Source organism: Homo sapiens, chromosome 8 (assembly GCF_000001405.40).
Source record: "Homo sapiens chromosome 8, GRCh38.p14 Primary Assembly".
In the NCBI taxonomy this organism is placed as follows: domain Eukaryota; kingdom Metazoa; phylum Chordata; class Mammalia; order Primates; family Hominidae; genus Homo; species Homo sapiens.
In genome coordinates this window covers 52,765,292-52,783,042 of record NC_000008.11, presented here as the reverse complement: position 1 = coordinate 52,783,042, position 17,751 = coordinate 52,765,292, and the positions used below count along the sequence as shown (strand labels likewise).

Genomic DNA, 17,751 nt, shown 5'->3' with positions numbered 1-17,751 from the left:
TCAAGCAATCTTCCTGCCTTGGCCCCACAAAGTGCTGGAATTACAGGCATGAGCCACTGCGCCGATCACACTCTCAAATTATGTTGTGCCACGAAGTCAAGAACCCGAACTGGCCCACCAACAACACAAGTAGCTTCTGTGGAAGGGGCTGGAAACACCTCCTGGGGAAGGGAAGAAGTGGTCCTGGAATGGAAAGCAGGACTTAAAGGGCAGCACATACATTCTATGTGGGCACCTGGGGTTTTCTCCTTCAAGAAAACTCTTTTTTAAAAAAAGCGAAAAACACACATCTCACAGCTGCCCTACCTGAGATGTAAGGAAGCCAGGCTGCTGCTGGGGAATGTTTTGGGGGAGTTAGCTCCCCAGCAGTTTCAGCCTGCCCTGCATCTGGACAGGCTCTTTCTGGGCTTCTAGGGTGCACTGCAGTGGTGAGGGCTGAGGGGTGTGGCATAAATTGTGTCATGATTATTATTCCTTAAAATCCCTATCATTTGAGTCCCAGGCACCTCCTCAGCCTGTGCTTGCTACTCTCCTTGCTGCTAATTCTTCAAGACCCTCCTTGCACGCTGTCACAGCTGCCAAGAATCTTCATCTCCCCTCCACTTCATCCACCCAGAAATAGATGAAGCCATCTACTGCTTAGACCTTCTCCACCTCCACCATCTTTAACTCTGACATTTTCTTCTTTGTTTATAGTCAATTATCTCTTGGCCTTTCCTGCTTTCTCACTCCTTCTGAACCTCATTTTCATCTTTCCTAATCCCTGCTTGTTCCTTATTTTCATAGGCCCAGGAGGACACTCTTGGTTTCATCTGCCTCCTAACCTACCAGATGGTCAGTGGGTTAGTCTACATTCCAGAGGGCAACCTAGAATTCCACAGTCTATTGATCTTCTAACAATTCATATTACCAATTCCCAAACTTCGCTGCTTCTTGTGTGTTCTCAGTGTCTTAGAGCATTATGCTCAGTATCTTTGCACCAAAATTACCGCTTAAAGTTTCTCTCATATCAGCATTAAGAGATGTGATGAATTAAAAAAAGAATAACTACTACACTATATCAGACAGATTTATACAAACTGTTAATAGGTATCTTGCTAAAGTAACATTTCAAGACCAAATAATTTGGGCAAATTATTGACTAAACAAGACGTAAAGGCACATTATCATCTAACTTCTCAGAGCTATGAAATAGGCTCACATGTCTTAAGAATATTTTCAACCTAAATAACAGAGAGAGGCTCTCTAGAAGAAGATGTTTATTAGGGAATAGAACATTGCAATGGGCATATACATGCCATAGCAAACTATTAATATATGTGTCAGGGAGGTAAAAGAAGGCAAAGATTTCTAAAGAAAAAAATGAGGACTACATAATTGTTTTTGAAATACTTATCTTTGGTTACAAAGATCAATGACAAGGGTGACACCAGTACAAGTTTGGACAGGCAGTTGCTGGGCAGATATTCTTGTATATATTTTTTGTACAGTTGCAATGGGTTGTGTGCCAGGTTGTGGTTTTTGTATAGTCTTTTTCATTATCGAGCACACAAGTGTCAGAACCCCTTCTTTATGGTTTTTGTTGGCTCCATTTGTCAGGGTTTTCTTAACATTCATGACTCCATTTTGATTCTGACAACTTTCACAATAATTAAGAAGATACAGTTGGCAAAGTTCCCAAAGTTATTTGACTCAAGGTTCCACAGAGTAAGTTTTGGGAAACACTAATTTATTATGATCATAAATCACTACATATCTCAACATTGTGGGACCAGGTGCATGATGTCTGGCTATTTTGTGTAGCTGGGCAACAGGGGCTTGTGAACACTGCCATCCCAAAAGAGAGAGATATTTTGACGGGGTTTGTTTTTTTTCAGCTGTATTCATAGACAATAGAAATCATTCCCCTAAACTTGAAGCATTTCTCTAAACTTGATGGACAGAGCATTCTGGTAATTTTCAAGCTGCGACAGTTTAGTGGAATTGGTCATTCAATCTCCAGAAACTTTTACCTTTGTTCCTTAAAGACGTCCTACATTGTGATTATTGCTCTAGGCATTGTCCTTTCTTGCTAACCAAAATGTCCAATGGGATCTAATTAAACTTAAGAGGCTCTGTACGGCAAAAGAATTATCAACAGAATAAACAGACAACATAAAGAATAGGAGAAAATATTTGCAACTATGCATCTGACAAAGGCCTAATATCCAGGGTCTTTAAAAAGAAAAAAACGACCACATTAAAAAGTGTGTAAAGAACATGAACAGACACTTTTCTAAAGAAGACATACACATGGCCAACAAGCATATGAAAAAAGCTGGCCGGGTGTGCTGGCACATGCCTGTAATCCCAGCACTTTGGGAGGCCGAGGCCAGTGGATTGCTTAAGGTCAGGAGTTCAAGACCAGCCTGACCAACATAGTGAAACCCCATCTCTACTAAAAATACAAAAATTAGCTGGGCATGGTGGCAGACTCTTGTAATCCCAGCTATTCAGGAGGCTGAGACAGGAGAATTGCTTGAACCTGGGAGGTGGAGTTTGCAGTGAGCTAAGATGGCACCACCGCACTCCATCCTGGGCATCAGAGCAAGACTCCCTCTCAAAAAAAAAAAAAAAGAAAAAAGAAAAAAAGCTCAGAGTTCAGTCTGTGGCTGGGATTAGAGGTGGCTCACACCTCTAATCCCAGCACTTTGGGAGGCCCAGGTGGGTGGATCACTTGAGGCCAGGAGTTCGAGACTAACCTGGCCAACATGGTGAAACCCCATCTCTACAAAAATACAAAAATTAGCTGGGCATGGTGATATGCACCTGTAATCCCAACTACTCGGGAGGCTGAGGCAGGAGAATCGCTTGAACCCAGGAGGCAGAGGTTGCAGTGAGCTGAGATCGTGTCATTGCAACTCCATCCTGGGCGACAGAGCAAGACTCCATCTCAAAAACATAGGTTGATCTATTGTCTTTTTTCTTCTATTGTTTCAGATGAGAAATGAACTGTTAATATTGTTGCTTTGAGTTAAATATTTCTTAAAATCTAGGCAATACTATTCAGGACGTAAGCACAGGCAAAGATTTCATGACGAAAACACCAAAAGCAATTGCAACAAAAGCAAAAATTGACAAATAGAATCTAATTAAACTAAAGAGCTTCTGCGCAGCAAAACAAACTATCATCAGAGTGAACAGACAATCTACAGAATGGGAGAAAAATTTTGCAAGCTATCCATCTGACAAAGGTCTAACATCCAGAGTCGACAAGGAACTTAAATTTACAAGAAAAAAACAACCCCATTAAAAAGTGGGTAAAGGACATGAACAAAACACTTCTCAAAAGAAGACATTCATGCAGCCAACAAACATATGAAAGAAAGCTCAACATCACTGATCATTAGAGAAATGCATATCAAAACCGCAATGAGATACCATTTCACATGAGTCAGAATGACTACTATAAAAAAGTCAAAAAACAACAGATGCTGGCAAGGTTGCAGAGAAAAGGGAACATTTATACACTGTTGGTGGGAGTGTAAATTAGTTCAACCATTGCATTGTGGAAAGCAGTGTGGCAATTCCTCAAAAAGCTAAAAGAGAAGTGCCATTCAACCCAGCAATCCCATTACTGGGCATATACCTAGAGGAATATAAATCATTCTACCATAAAGACACATGCACATGAATGTTCATGGCAGTACTCTTCACAATAGGAAAGACATGGAATCAACCTAAATGCCCATCAATGAAACATTGAATAAAGAAAATAGGGTGCATATACACCATGGAGTACTATGCAGCCATAAAAAAGAACAAGATCTTGTCTTTTGCCAGAAGACGGATGGAGCTGGAGGCCATTATCCTCAGCAAACTAACACAGGAACAGAAAATTAATACCCCATGTTCTCACTTATAAGTCTGAGCTAAATAATGAGAACACATGGACACAAAGAGGCAAACAACAGACACTGGGGCCTTCTTGAGGTGGGAGGGTGGGAAGAGGGAGAGGAGCAGAAAAAATAACTATTGAGCACTAGGCTTAGTACCTGGGTGATGAAATAATCTGTACAACAAAACCCCGTGACACAAGTTTTCCTATATAACAAACCTGCGCATGCACCCCGAGTCTAAAAGTTAAAGAAAAATATGTCCTAGCCTTAACAGTCTGTGATTAAAACTGAAGTCAATGTCCAAAGTGCAGTAGTTCCTCTGCTTCCCATCTGTTTCACTAGCAAGAGAGAATCTCCTAATAGTTTTAAGAATCCCCCTAGCTTTCAACCCTCAGTACCACAAATGTTACCAACGTTTGTTCAAGAGTTGGTCCTCTGTGTGGCTTGCCTGTTGCCCATAGGGAGAGCCGGACTCGACACTCCCCTGTAGGTAGACTCTTCAACCAGTCTGCCAGTACCCCAGTGAAGGGCCTGCTTCCACAGCACCGCCATCAGGCTGCCAGCTATGTCTGCACGAAAGCCATGGGGGGACAGCGGAGATCAGATCAGATCAACGGCTCCTCTTGACCCATGGTGGTTCACGCACCATTGTTGTCTTGAACTCCTATGCTATCTGTGGCTGCTTTCTGAATACCCAGCAGGTCATAGATCTAAAGTCCCATCTGAGCCAGAAGCTTCATGGCCTATTCACTGGCACTAGAGCAGCAGATGCAGTTTTATGCAAACTCATCCATTTTGAGTTCTTCTGAAAAGTACAAAAGAAGATACCAGGCTGGGCTTAGTGGCTCACCCCTGTAATCCTAGCACTTTCAGAGGCCAAGGCGAGTGGATCACTTGAGGCCAGGAGTTTGAGACCAGCCTGGGTAACATGGTGAAACCCCATCTCTGTAAAAAATACAAAAATTAGCCAGGTGTAATGGTGTGCACCTGCAGTCCCAGCTCCTCTGGAGGCTGAGGTGGGAGGATCTCTTGAGCCCAGGAGGCGGACGCTGCAGTGATCCATGATTGCACCACTGCACTCCAGCCTGGGCGACAGAGTGAGACACTATTTCAAAAAAAAAAAAAGGAAAATACCTTACTTTGATGTCACCATGCTTGATCAGTGACATGGCCCAGAAAAACTGCCTGGAACTCAAGACTAAGGTGATCAAAGCCCTTTTATTCCCACTTGTAGCCATTCTCGTGGTAGCCACATACTAGCCCAGAAGTTTCCTCCAGAGATCTAAGCCCCTCCATTTACAGGAGGGATGCCAGTGCCATGCATTCACTACACCCTGGAGAGGAGTTTGGGGCCTAAAAAGGGTCAGGTAGATGTTTTCCACTATGGAGAAGACCCCTGACCTCCAAAGCAGATTTCATAAGCTGCCTCATTTGAGGCCTAATTCCCAAACTCAAATGATGAAGAAACAGTAGTCCTACATTTAAAAACTACCATTCAGAAGAAAAGAAAAATCATTCAGTAATGCAGGAGAGTGCAGGAATTAACTGGCTTGAGTGAAGCATAGCACAGTGCTGGCACATAACAAGTTCTTGTTCACTAGTCCTTGTAATAATGGTGAGTATCAATGCATCATTGAGAGTAAAACTCATCTTCCCAAAGGAGAGCAAGAGATTTCCGTGACAACTGCTCAGGAGGAATCGCTGGACCCATTCTCTTCTCTGCCTTGTAGAACACTGAGGTTGGTACACAAAGATGTGTGGATTAAAGCTGTGGTTTCTGCCATAAACTCTCTTCCCCAGGTTAAAAGAGGGGAAAAGATCACCACATTGACCAGCACATCATGCACTGATTTCATGCACTTGCCTGGTAAAGGGAGACACACCACTGACTAGTTCCCTAGGGGAAGAAGTCCGTGGGTGTGTATGGGGAGTTATGTACTAGAGAGTGGGTAGGTAAGTAACTGTATCTACACAAATTATGGAGTGAAGTTGCTCCCTGGATAGAATGAGTCTGAATAGCACTGGGGCAGGCTCACAATGAATTCCATTTCTTGCTTCGATATTGAAAACAGAGTAACAATAAGTTGTGTCTGGGCAAAGGACATATGGGAAAAGAAAGTGATCAACTTTCACTTTATAAGGAAAATTAACACATAAAGTTCTTAAATAATTTTCAGTCAAATAAATTCTTATGTGACTTTGGGGCTTCAGAGATGCTGGTAAAAAGTCAAGACCGTGAAGACCAAAGCTTTCCATGCTGGGCAGTTGCCCCGGGCAGTTTGCCTTAGGTGGAGGGAACCTGGAATGGAGGAGCAGGAGAACAGGTTAAGGGGCAGACAGGCAGACCCTGAGGGGAAGGGGGGCTTATTCTGTGCCCACCAGAGACCCCCAGAAGGAATGTGTCATGAGCTGGTGGCTTCTGAAAAGGTTCTTCTGAGGTTGAACTGGGGATGCACTGGACAACCTTGAGGCTGAAGATGGGGTCTATTTTGAATCATGAAATCAGCTAATTTCAACATACATGAGGTGTTTGGTACACAAAGAACTATGACGGATGTCAGCTGATGGATTCACCTTAGTCCACTTCTGAGTAGAAAGGCCTGTTCATGCCTCCTTTGTATGCAGAGAGTAGCCCTGGAAGTTTGTAGATCCACAGATGTCTTCGAGGCATTTTCCAGATAATAAAATATGATTGTAGCTCAAATGCACTAAAATCAACCTATAAGAAAAATCAAGAAAACAGACTTGGTGATAGTAATAATTTTTAGTGACCACTGGTAATTTATAAAACTATGTAATTTGTCATTAGCTACAAGAACTAATTAGATTAAGCACTGGTTTAGAGGACTTACTATGGGTCCTTCAGAGTAAACTCTTTGTAACAACATACTTTCCATACATGCTTATCTAATTATGTGCTAAAAAGATTCTAAAAATTCCCTGTACTAAAATTATGCATTCACCTATCTAAACATTACTTATCATGTGATGCTTAGATAGGTGAATGTGTGATTTAACTGTTCAAACTGATACACTTTTGCAAGTGAAAGTTACAGTTACATACAGAGAGAGTTACATAGTTATTCATTTGAGTTTCTTTGAAGATAAGCCTTTATAAAATAACACATACACATACACACACATACACACACACCAACTTTTCTTTCTCTATACTTTCTATTCCAGGTTTGACCTTTACTAATAACATTTAGTTTCTTTTGACTTTTTTTTTTTTTTTGAAATGGAGTCTTGCTCTGTCACCCAGGCTGGAGTGCAGTGGCCCAATCTTAGCTCACTGCAACCTCTGCCTCCCGGGTTCAAGCAGTTCTCCTGCCTCAGCCTCCCGAGTAGCTAGGATCACAGGTGTGTGCCACCACGCCCGGCTAATTTTTGTATTTTCAGTAGAGATGCAGTTTCACCATATTGGCCCGGCTGGTCTCGAACTCCTGATGCCAAGTGATCCACCCACCTGGGATTATAGGCATGAGCCACCATGCCTGGCCTCTTTTGACTTTTAAACAGTGGCTTGGAAAGCATTAAAGGTCTGTGCAAATATGTTTTAATAATCTTTCCTTTTCTTTACTGGGTTATTCAAAAATACTAATTTTACAGGTTAAATTTATTTACATTGTTTTGCACATTTTCTTTCTTTGAAAATATAGCTAAATTCTCACAAATTTTAAAATATGGGTAAGCTCAGCTTCATAGTACTACACACACTCTATCTCTCTCCCTCTCTGTCTCTTTCCCTCTCCCAATAGCTCTGGTCTACAGGGGTCATCTCTAGTCATCTGGTAGGTGGCCCTGGGAGGATTTAGGGCAGGGGGGATATTGGAGTGGTGTGTAAGAGTTAAATAAAGGGTTGTGGCTGGGAGTAGACTTGGGATTGGGTAGTTTGCACATAAAACACATGCTCCTGGCTAAGTTCTTTGTTGTCTCCAGAATTGGCCAGCCCTGGGAGGGGCAGTCTCTCTGGAGGCCAGCAAGATGTTTAAGATGGCCAACCATCCTAAGATGCAGAAAATTTTAGAACACATGATTAATGTAATTTCATGTTAAATTTAATATGTGTGTAGGTTTACTGAAACAAGAAAAAAATAGTAATTAATATTAAAAAATTTGCCAAATATTGAAAAGGGCTATGAGAAAGGCAATGACTATAAAGACATTCTTTCTACTATCTTCCCACTGTTTCTGAGATGTGAGTTCACATGACTACTGAATTGACAGTGTGGGATTAATTTCAATTCAGTCATCTTCTCAGTCTTTGTGCAAACTTTTGTGCAATTAATATAGCAACTGTCAGTTGTAGGAGCTGGGAAATTTTAAAAAATAAACAAATGCAGTCACTGTACTTTCAATGTCATTCTGTTATGAATAGGAACTGAATACTACTGCTGAGGAATGGTCTTGCAGCTAGCTCTTCCTCATCATCATGTACCCAAAGGCGCAAGACTCTGCAGGACAGAAAAAGAAATTCACAACTTCAAACTGTGTAGGTTACTAGAAACAGATTTCTAGGGAAAGTCCTACACTGGAAACCAAAAATCAAAAGTAATGGTCAAAGGCTTTTGAAGGTTGCTCTGGGCTCTGATCACACACATTTACATCCCTTTTGTAACTAAAACAAAAAAAAGGAAAAGAAAAATAATATGGCCAGTCACAATGGCTCACACCTATAATTTTAGGGTTTGGGAGGCCGAAGGTGGGAGGATCACTTAAGTCCAGGAGTTCTAGACAAGCCTGGGCAACACAGTAAGCCCCTGTCTCTGTAAAAAAATAAAAATTAGCCAGGCCTGGTGGCTCATCCCTATAGTTCCAGGTACTTGAAAGGATGAGGTGGGAGGATTGCTTGAGCCCAGGAGTTTGAGGCAGCAGTAAGCTATGATCACAACACTGTACTCCAGCCTGGGCAACAGAGTGAGACTCTGTCTCAAAAAAAAATTAAAATTAAAATTAAAATTAACATTGGCAAGTTTATGTTGGTAATCTTTCTTTTCTTTTTTTTTTTTCTTTATTTTGAGACAGAGTTTCACTCTTGTTGCCCAGGCTAGAGTGCAATGGCACCATCTCGGCTCACCACAACCTCCGCCTCCCGGGTTCAAGCGATTCTCCCGCCTCAGCATCCCTAGTAGCTGGGATTACAGGCATGTGCCACCACGTCCAGCTAATTTTGTATTTTTAGTAGAGACGGGGTTTCTTCATGTTGGTCAGGCTGGTCTCGAACTCCCAACCTCAGGTGATCCACCCATCTCAGCCTCCCAAAGTGCTGGGATTACAGGTGTGAGCCACCACGCCCGGCCTTGGTAATCTTTCACTGGATTTTATACTTTTTTTTTTTTTAAGAGATGAAGTCTCATTTTGTCACCCAGGCTGGAGTGCAGTGGTATAATAGCAGCTCATTGCAGCCTCAAACTCCTGGGCTCAAACGATCCTCCCACCTCAGCCCCCAAGTAGCTGAGATTACAGCACTTGGCTAGATTTTATACAGATTTTTACAAATTTGTATTCACTTCTTTTTCTGTAGCCTTCCAGGAATATGAAAACACAGAGCTTCTCTCTCTCTCCTTTTTTTCTTCTGTGTGTTTCCAGACTTTCAGAGCCAAAAGGATGTTCTTTTTCAATGGGAGCCTCTTCCATTCAGCCATCTATTTATTCAGTCATTGACTTATTCAACATTCATTTATGTGGTAGCTAGTAAGCTACAGGCACTATATTGTAATTTAGGGCACCATCAGTTTTCAAAATGTGAAAGTTTGAAGCTCACTTTGAAAAAAGAAAAAAAAATGAGGTTGAAAGCATCCAGTCAAGGGTGTGCACATAGAATCCAGCCTCCGCCACCTATTTGCTATGTGACCTTGGGCCAATGAGCTTTCCTCTCTGGGTCTCAGTTTCATCACCTGTAAAATGGAAAGAAAAATGTTGTATACATGAGATATGGGAGGCCAGGTGCGGTGGCTCACGCCTCTAATCCCAGTACTTTGGGAGGCTGAAGCGGGTGGATCACGAGGTCAGGAGTTCAAGACCAGCCTGGCCAAAATGGTGAAACCCCATCTCTACTAAAAATACAAAAATTATCTGGGTGTGCCTGTAATCCCAGCTACAAGGGAGGCTGTGGTAGAGAACTGCTTGAAACCGGGAGGCGGAGTTTGCAGCGGGCTGAGATCTTGCCACCACACTCCAGCCTGGGAGACAGAGCGAGACTCAGTCTCAAAAAAAAAAAAAAAAAAAGATATGGGATTATTGTGAAGAAATACAAGACTGTAGAATATGTGAAGCTCCCAGAACTTCCCTGCCAATCAGCAAATCTGAACACCTTTTGTTCTGGGTTCATAACTTTCACTACCCATATCCAGCTATAGTTTCTCTTCCCCAAAGGTGCTAGCAACACACCTTAGAGGATAATATTCATGTGCTCCACAAAGCTGTATAACAGCACCCGCTTAGTGCTGTTATAAAGTCTGATGGTAACTCCTGGAAAGCTACCTATGACCCTCTGCTTCTGTCTGAGCCCATCTTGCAGGCTGGGCTTCTAACTGCACAGAGTACTGGACTCCATTCCTTCCATTCCGTTTCATGCAGCAGACGAATCATTTTCTCCGAACACGCTGTGCACTTTCCTTGCTATGCTTGGGCTGCTGGCTTTTTTAGCACACCGTTCTCTGTCTTCTCAGTTTGTCGAAATTCTACTGACTCTTTCAGGACCTAGTGCTAAGATGATGTCCTCCCAAAAAGCAGCTCTGACTGCCCCACTTCTACCAAGCAAGGGCAGAACTCACCAGTCTTCATAGGGCTCCACATAACTTTGACCATACAGAGATTTGGAATCTTTTACCTCACAAGTGTCAAGAAGTTGCTAAATGAGGTTGTAACACTTGACAGGAATATCTTTAGGATGAAGATAGTTGCACCTTTGTGAGATTGCTTCTCTTCAAAAAAAAGGAGGGGTAAAATATTGCAGACCCTTTCGCAACAGGCCACCTCTTAGCTCCTTCTCCTCCAGCCTTGTGAAGTCTTTTGCACTTTTTTTTTGGAAAGAAAAACAGAGTATTCTGAATAAACTTCAGCTCTTCAGAGTAAATTAACCAGTATGTAGCCTTTGGATCAAATACCATACCCTCATTTGGAAGCACATCTGACATTTTCAATATTTTCCACTTCCCAACCAATCTATCTATTTAATATCACTTGAGCTCCCATTCCCTAAAAGGAGAAACTTTGTTGCACTTGTGACTTCTAACTACAGTTTCTTTGCCTATGTAATGTGTGTGTAATGTTTAACATACCTACGTAATGCTGTATTTTGGAAAATATTCGTTTATGCTATGGAAAAGACAAAAGCTGAAATGGGTGAGACTCATAAAATGAGTTAAGCCTAGAGAGGTAATAAGTTAGCATCCGTCAGGTCTGCTGAAGAGTTAAGTAGAACATTTGTGTGGAACACAGACAGAAAGGGATGGAAAGACTCAGTATTCAGCGGGGCTTGATAGGCAGTTCCTACTGTGATCCCAGCTACTCAGGAGCTGAGGTAGGAGAATGGGTTGAGGCCAGGAGTTCAGGACCAGCCTGGGCAACACAGCAAGACTCCTCTTTGGCTTCTTGAAATTCCTGTCTCCCTAAAATGTATAAAAGCAAGCTGTACCCTGACCACTTGGGGCATATGTTATCAGGACCTCCTGAGGCTGTGTCACTGGTGCATCCTTAACTTTGGCAAAATAAACTTTCTAAATTGATTGAGACGTGTCTCAGATACTTTTGGACTCACACTGTTCACCAATAAAAGGAACCAGAGCTTGTTGGAGAAATGGCTGATTCTAGGGCTGAGGCAGGAAATACTCAAGACAGGTGTATTAGGTCATTCTTGCATTGCTATAAAGACATACCTGAGGCTGCATAGTATACAAAGAGGTTGAATTGGCTCACTGTTCTTCAGCTTTATAGGAAGCATGGTGCTGATAGCTGCTTCCAGTGAGGCTTACAATCATGGCAGAAGTTGACAGGGAGCCAGCATGTCACATGGTAAGAGTAATGCAGGGAGGTGCCAGGCTCTTTTAAACAACCAGATCTAATGTAAGCTCACTCATCACCAAGAAGGTGGCACTAAGCCATTCATGAGGGATCCACCCCCATGTTCCAGTCACCTCCCACCACGCCCCATTTCAACATTGGCAATCACATTTCAGCATGAGATTTGGAGGCAACAAACATCCAAATTATATCAATAGGACAGAACTTTTTTTAAAAAAGATAAAAAAGGATTATCCAAAAAAAAAAAAGGCAGGATTACCTTGTAATGCCAGAAAGTGCTTCTCACACACACACACACACACACACACACACACACAAAAAGCAGTGGGAGTTTGTCAAAATGACACAAGATCCAACTGTGCTCATCAATGGCCAAAGCTGGAACAATTTAAAAAACCCAAACAAGGTGGCATTGGATGGTAACCCAAAATAAAAAAGAAATATGCATGAATCATATAAATAAATGACTGAATGAATTTAAAAGTGGAGAAGACTAGAAAACCTCCTGTGCAGAAGAGTCTGTATAATTTATGTAGATACTCTGCCCTCAGTAAGGTGAACTAGAGCTCTCCACTCTTTATTTTTATTTTTTAATTTTTGTTGAGACAGGGTCTCACTCTGTTACCCAGGCTGGAGTACAATGGCACAATCTTGGCTCACTGCAACCTCAACCTCCATGGGCTCAAGCGATCCATCTGCTTTGGCCTCCCAAAATGCTAAGACTACAGGCATGAGCCACCTTGCCCAGCCAACTCCCCACCCTTTAAAGGTTGGCTGTACATAGTGACTTCCAAAGAATACAACAATGAAAAGGGGAATAAAGACAGCAACTTTACTGTGGAAAAGCCTGACCCATACTACATCAGCCAATGGATCAAGGTCAGCATTGACACTAACAAGTCATGTTGATATGCACCCTTGGTATGATTTGATAAAAGTGTCACTTCCCCTCTGTGATCTTCCTCCCCAAAACACATAACCCCAGTCTAACCAAAAGAAAACATTTGCAAAATCCCAAACAAGGGACATTCTACAAAATACCTGACCGGTGCTCTTCAAAACTGCCACAATCATTAGAAACAAGGGAAATCTGAGAAACTGTCACAGCCAGGAGGAGCCTAAGGAGGCAGTGACTACATGGAATGTGGGATCCTGGACGGGATCCTGGAAGAGAAAAGCATCATTAGCCAAAAACTAGAGAAATCTGAATGATGAACACATGCACTTCAGCTAGGAAGAATGTCTCAATATTGGTTAATTAAGTGTAACAAATGCACCATACTCATGTAAGATGTTAATAACAGGGGAAACTGGATGTGGAGTATATGAGAGCTTTCTGTACTGTCTTCACTTTTCTTTTCTGGAGATTTTCTGTAAATCTACTTTAAAATGAAAGGTTCATTTTTTTAAGAAGCCTGAGATTTTAAGATACTAGACTTTCCAATAAGCAAAAGTTACTTTCAAACAATTTGGTTTTACATATGTTAAGAAAAGTGGTTTTTAAAAATGAATCACTTATTCACAAAGTTTCATTTTCCATCTGGGTTAACTCACACACATATCTGGCAGAGATAGACAATGAATTAAGAGGTTAGGATAGAGGAAAGTACTTTCTCATTGGACAAATTATTTTTGACAACTAAAACTTTGTAACCTGTCCCTATGCAGTGGAGGAATAGCAATTCTGATTCCAACAACCTTAATTCCACGTCTGTCCAAGGCTCCACCACAAAAGCAGAGCAGAGACTTGAGGCTATCAGAGCTTTTCCAAGCTTTGCAGCAGAGTGATGCACTAGTCCTTTGAAAGACAAAATTTCAGCTCTGCAAATAAAAGAGGAAATGATAATTTTAGAATGTGCATACGGCATAAACAACGTTAAAAGGTCAGGAACATGATCATACTTATCTGTAGGAGTATTTGCGTTTATTTGCACCTTGGTTTCTATATCATCACTTAGCACTGACAGGGAAGAATCCAGCTACTATTAATCATAATAACTTTTCACTTTTCCATCAATGTAAGAGTACAGAATGAAAATAAAATGTTGATATACAAGGGCTCATTTACGCACCACCTTGCCCTAGACAGGAGTTGATGTAACAACCTGGTTCACATACATTCATTGCTTTCTAACTGAAAGTGTGGACTGATGCTCTGGGCCGTCTAAGCACATTCCTTCTATTGTGTTACCTGGAGGCTCTAGCAACCCAGATATGAAACAAGCCATCACTATAAAGCTAACTCGTTTAATAAGAATGTGTGTTGCCATCGCTCTGGAATTGCTGTTAAGGTCTCACATTCTAAGTTCAGATCGTTGCCTAGGCCAGCCCTGTCTCACTTTTCTCACTGAAATGGTAAGAGAATGGGTCCCATCACCAACTACCCTCTCCCAGAATCCCCTCCTGCTATCCTCAGCAACAGAAAAAGAGACCAGACCCAGGGAGCAGAGGTGGCTGAAGAAGCTGTTCTTACTCTTCCCTGAAGGGGACCTTCCCTCCCTTTGGCCAGGGAGGAGGACCTCAGGGAGTCCCTTGTGAAGACTGGAGGCCTACGCTAGAAGAGGAGACCAGCATTTTGACTCTGGGTGGATGTCTGCTTACCATAGACTTGGAGAAGTTTTCCTGGGTACTGTAGCAGTGGAAAAGAAACGTAAAGAGAGACAATGTGGTAAAGAAATGCCAGCCAGCCCCCTTAGGAGACATGGAAGATCCCCCAGTGTCTGATGGCTTAAGGTTTTGGCCTCTAAAAAGTAGACACTGCAGCTACAGACTTCCCTGGACCACCTTATACACCAGAGAACTCGGCATGATGACCCCAGAAGAGAAGAACAAAGCTGTTCAAGGGCTGCAAAGCCCAAGAGAATTACAGAGAATAATTCCTTACCATGGGACATCGGAACAACATACAACCTTACTGTACTCACAGATAACTAATTCCAACAGCGGTTGGCACCACCCAAATTGAGGAGTGCGATGTGTCCCCAGCAGGCAACAATTTAAACATTCTCTTCTCCACTTTTCACTGTCCCAAGAAAATGGCAGGAGGAAAATCACCCACTGTTCTGGTCTGCCCTGGAGGAGGAAAGAAAAATTGCTTTGAAGTTTAAAAATAAAAAATCAAAACCAAAAAACAGGGTGTGAACTTTACATACTGGAATGCGTGTTCTGATATCTGACCCTGGAGGCTAAGGTATGGAGTACAGCCAGGGTGGCATTCAGGATGCTTCTCCCCAGTGGGAAATGTGATCTAATTTCTCTTATTTGAGAGACAGGTTTGGATAAAACACTTTTTATGTTTTTACTTCACACATTGAGGGTACTCAGCATACCAGTAATATCTACAAGAATTTAATGCCCAAGGGGATTTATACCATGTAGACAATTTTTATTATTTTTTATTACTTTTCTAGCAACTTTAAATACTTCTTTGTACAAAAAAAAAATGTAACAATAAATGGTGGCAACACAGATTTTTCTCTGCTCACCTCACAATAAGAAAATGCCAATATCGGCCAGGCACGGGGGCTCGCACTTCTAATCCCAGCACTTTGGGAAGCCAAGGTGGGTGGATCATTTGAGCTGAGAAGTTCTAGACAACCCTGGGCAACATGGCGAGACCCCTGTCTTTTTTTTTTCGTCTTTTTTTTTTTTTGAGACAGAGTTTTACTCTTGTCGCCCAGGCTGGAGTGCAATGGCACGATCTTGGCTCACCGAAACCTCCACCTCCTGGGTTCAAGCAATTCTCCTGCCTCAGCCTCCTGAGTAGCTGGGATCATAGGCATGCGCCACCATGCCTGGCTAATTTTTGTATTTTTAGTAGAGATTGGGTTTCACCATGTTGGCCAAGCTGGTCTTGAACTCCTGATCTCAGGTGAGCCACCTGTGTCGACCTCCCAGAGTGCTGGGATTACAGGTGTGAGCCACCGTGCCTGGCCGAGACCCCATCTTTAAAAAAGAAAAGAAAAAGAAAATGCCAATATCTTTAAAATTGGCTAAACTAATTTTATCCAAGGCCCTAGTATTTACCTCCAGTTTTGTCTTGAGATTTCTCCGAAGAGAGTGGCAACCCTCGCCCTGCCCCGATGGGACCAGGGGAAGCAGGCCTGGTTGTGGACAATGTGCCTTTCTCAGGATGCTGCCTCATCCAGAAGGATGCCCCCTGCCTATGTGTCCAAACTGTGACCAGGGTCCCCCTCACAGGAAACATGTTTATTCCAGTAGACGCCCTGTTGGCTCTTAGATGACCTCTGTCCAGTTTATTCCTACCAAGATAGCCACTCTCCAGGAGAGCCCTGACCAGGAGGAGAGTTGGGTCAAGTGTGCCGATCAGGGGAGACAGAGGAGACAGCATAAGAAAACACGTGAAATAACAGAGGTAGGGTTTTTCACACTCTTATTATTTTATTATCTTTTGCAAGAACACACAGGTAACAGAAGTAGTTTTTATTACTTCTCCCAGAGAAGAAGGCAGCACACCTCACAGGGCCAACAGGAAGAAGAAAGCTGTCTGGGACTTGTACACTCAGATTGTGGGTGGAGAACAAGAGAAAGAGAGACAAAGAGAGAGTGCGTGTGAGGGACCTGTGGGCTGAAGCCTTTACTGGGATCCAGGGCATTACCCAGGCAGATTTCCCCCAGGGAGTTCTACTTGGTGAGTTTAAAGTAAGCAGACGCAGTTCCAGGGAGTCATGCTGTGGCTGTGACTTGGTCACTATGGCATAACTGCATAGTCCAGGGGGTCAGTGGTGCCAGTCAAGTAGGCTGGATCCAGCTGTCTCATAGTGAGGTGGTCACCAGGAGGCAATGTTATAAGAAAAACCTGGGATTGTAATGTCCCTTCCCTAAACTGGGAAGGAGTCAAGATAATCAGAGAATGACTCTCACAAGTCCAGCTTGATAAGTAGATGAGTTTATTAGTACTGACATACAGGACACTCCTGGGCAGTGGCAGGAGAGCTCTAGAGATCTGCACCACCACCCAGTTCTAAGCTGCTTTTCAGCTAATTTTCTGGCTCTTTGCCTTCCGTGTGTGTGATGAGACTGTTTTCCCTGGTATGTTCGCAGCTATGCCCTGGGATATTTGGGTTCTCAGAGACACCTGCTCCTCAGCTGCACACCATGACCTTGACTCACTGCCCGGCCTTCAGGTTCAGGCAGCAGACATGCACCCTTAAGTAACCTGATGGGGGACCCATCACACTACAATCCACCCTGTCCCTCAACTCTCACATTTTTTTTCTGCCAATCTTGGACCACAGTCTCTGAGTGGGGTATGAGGGAAAGAATTATATGGGCCTATACCCTATAGCATTGGCTTGTGTGTACAAGTCACATCCACAGTACACACAACAGCATCAAAAGCAAAAGCTAACTACAGTGATCATGCCTATTAGCAAGACATAACTCCAATGAGTAGGTAAAGTGTATAACCAATTGAGAATGAGGTAAAGAAATCTAATTAGGTTTTATCATGGATCTGAATTGACAAATGATTTAAAATCATTTGTGGGCCGGGCGCGGTGGCTCGCGCCTATAATCCCAGCACTTTGGGAGACTGAGGCAGGTGGATTGCCTGAGCTCAGGAGTTTGAGACCAGCCTGGGTAACATAGTGAAACCCCGTCTCTGCTAAAAATACAAAAAATTAGCCGGGTGCGGTGGCACATGCCTGTAATCTTAGCTACTTGAGAGGCTGAGGCAGGAGAATTGCTTGAACCCAGGAGGCGGAGGTTGCAGTGAGCTGAGATCGAGCCATTGCACTCTAGCCAGGGTGACAGAGTGCAACTCTGTCTCAAAAAAAAAAAAAAGCATTTGTAACATTATTCTCTTTATCAAGGATATAGGCTC

At 42.8% G+C, this 17,751-nt stretch overlaps 1 long non-coding RNA gene across 1 annotated transcript in view; it reads right to left on the bottom strand.

The window, feature by feature from the left end:
• Positions 1–1,242: 1,242 nt before the first annotated feature.
• Positions 1,243–17,751, bottom strand: part of LOC105375835 (uncharacterized) — a 37,314-nt gene continuing 20,805 nt past the window's right edge. Inside the window, exons 3-7 of the long non-coding RNA XR_001745898.2 lie at positions 14,831–14,978; positions 13,605–13,727; positions 12,948–13,070; positions 6,453–6,597; positions 1,243–6,177 (exon numbers count right to left, since the gene is read on the bottom strand). This is a non-coding gene — a long non-coding RNA (uncharacterized LOC105375835). The remainder of the gene's footprint in view (positions 6,178–6,452; positions 6,598–12,947; positions 13,071–13,604; positions 13,728–14,830; positions 14,979–17,751) is intronic.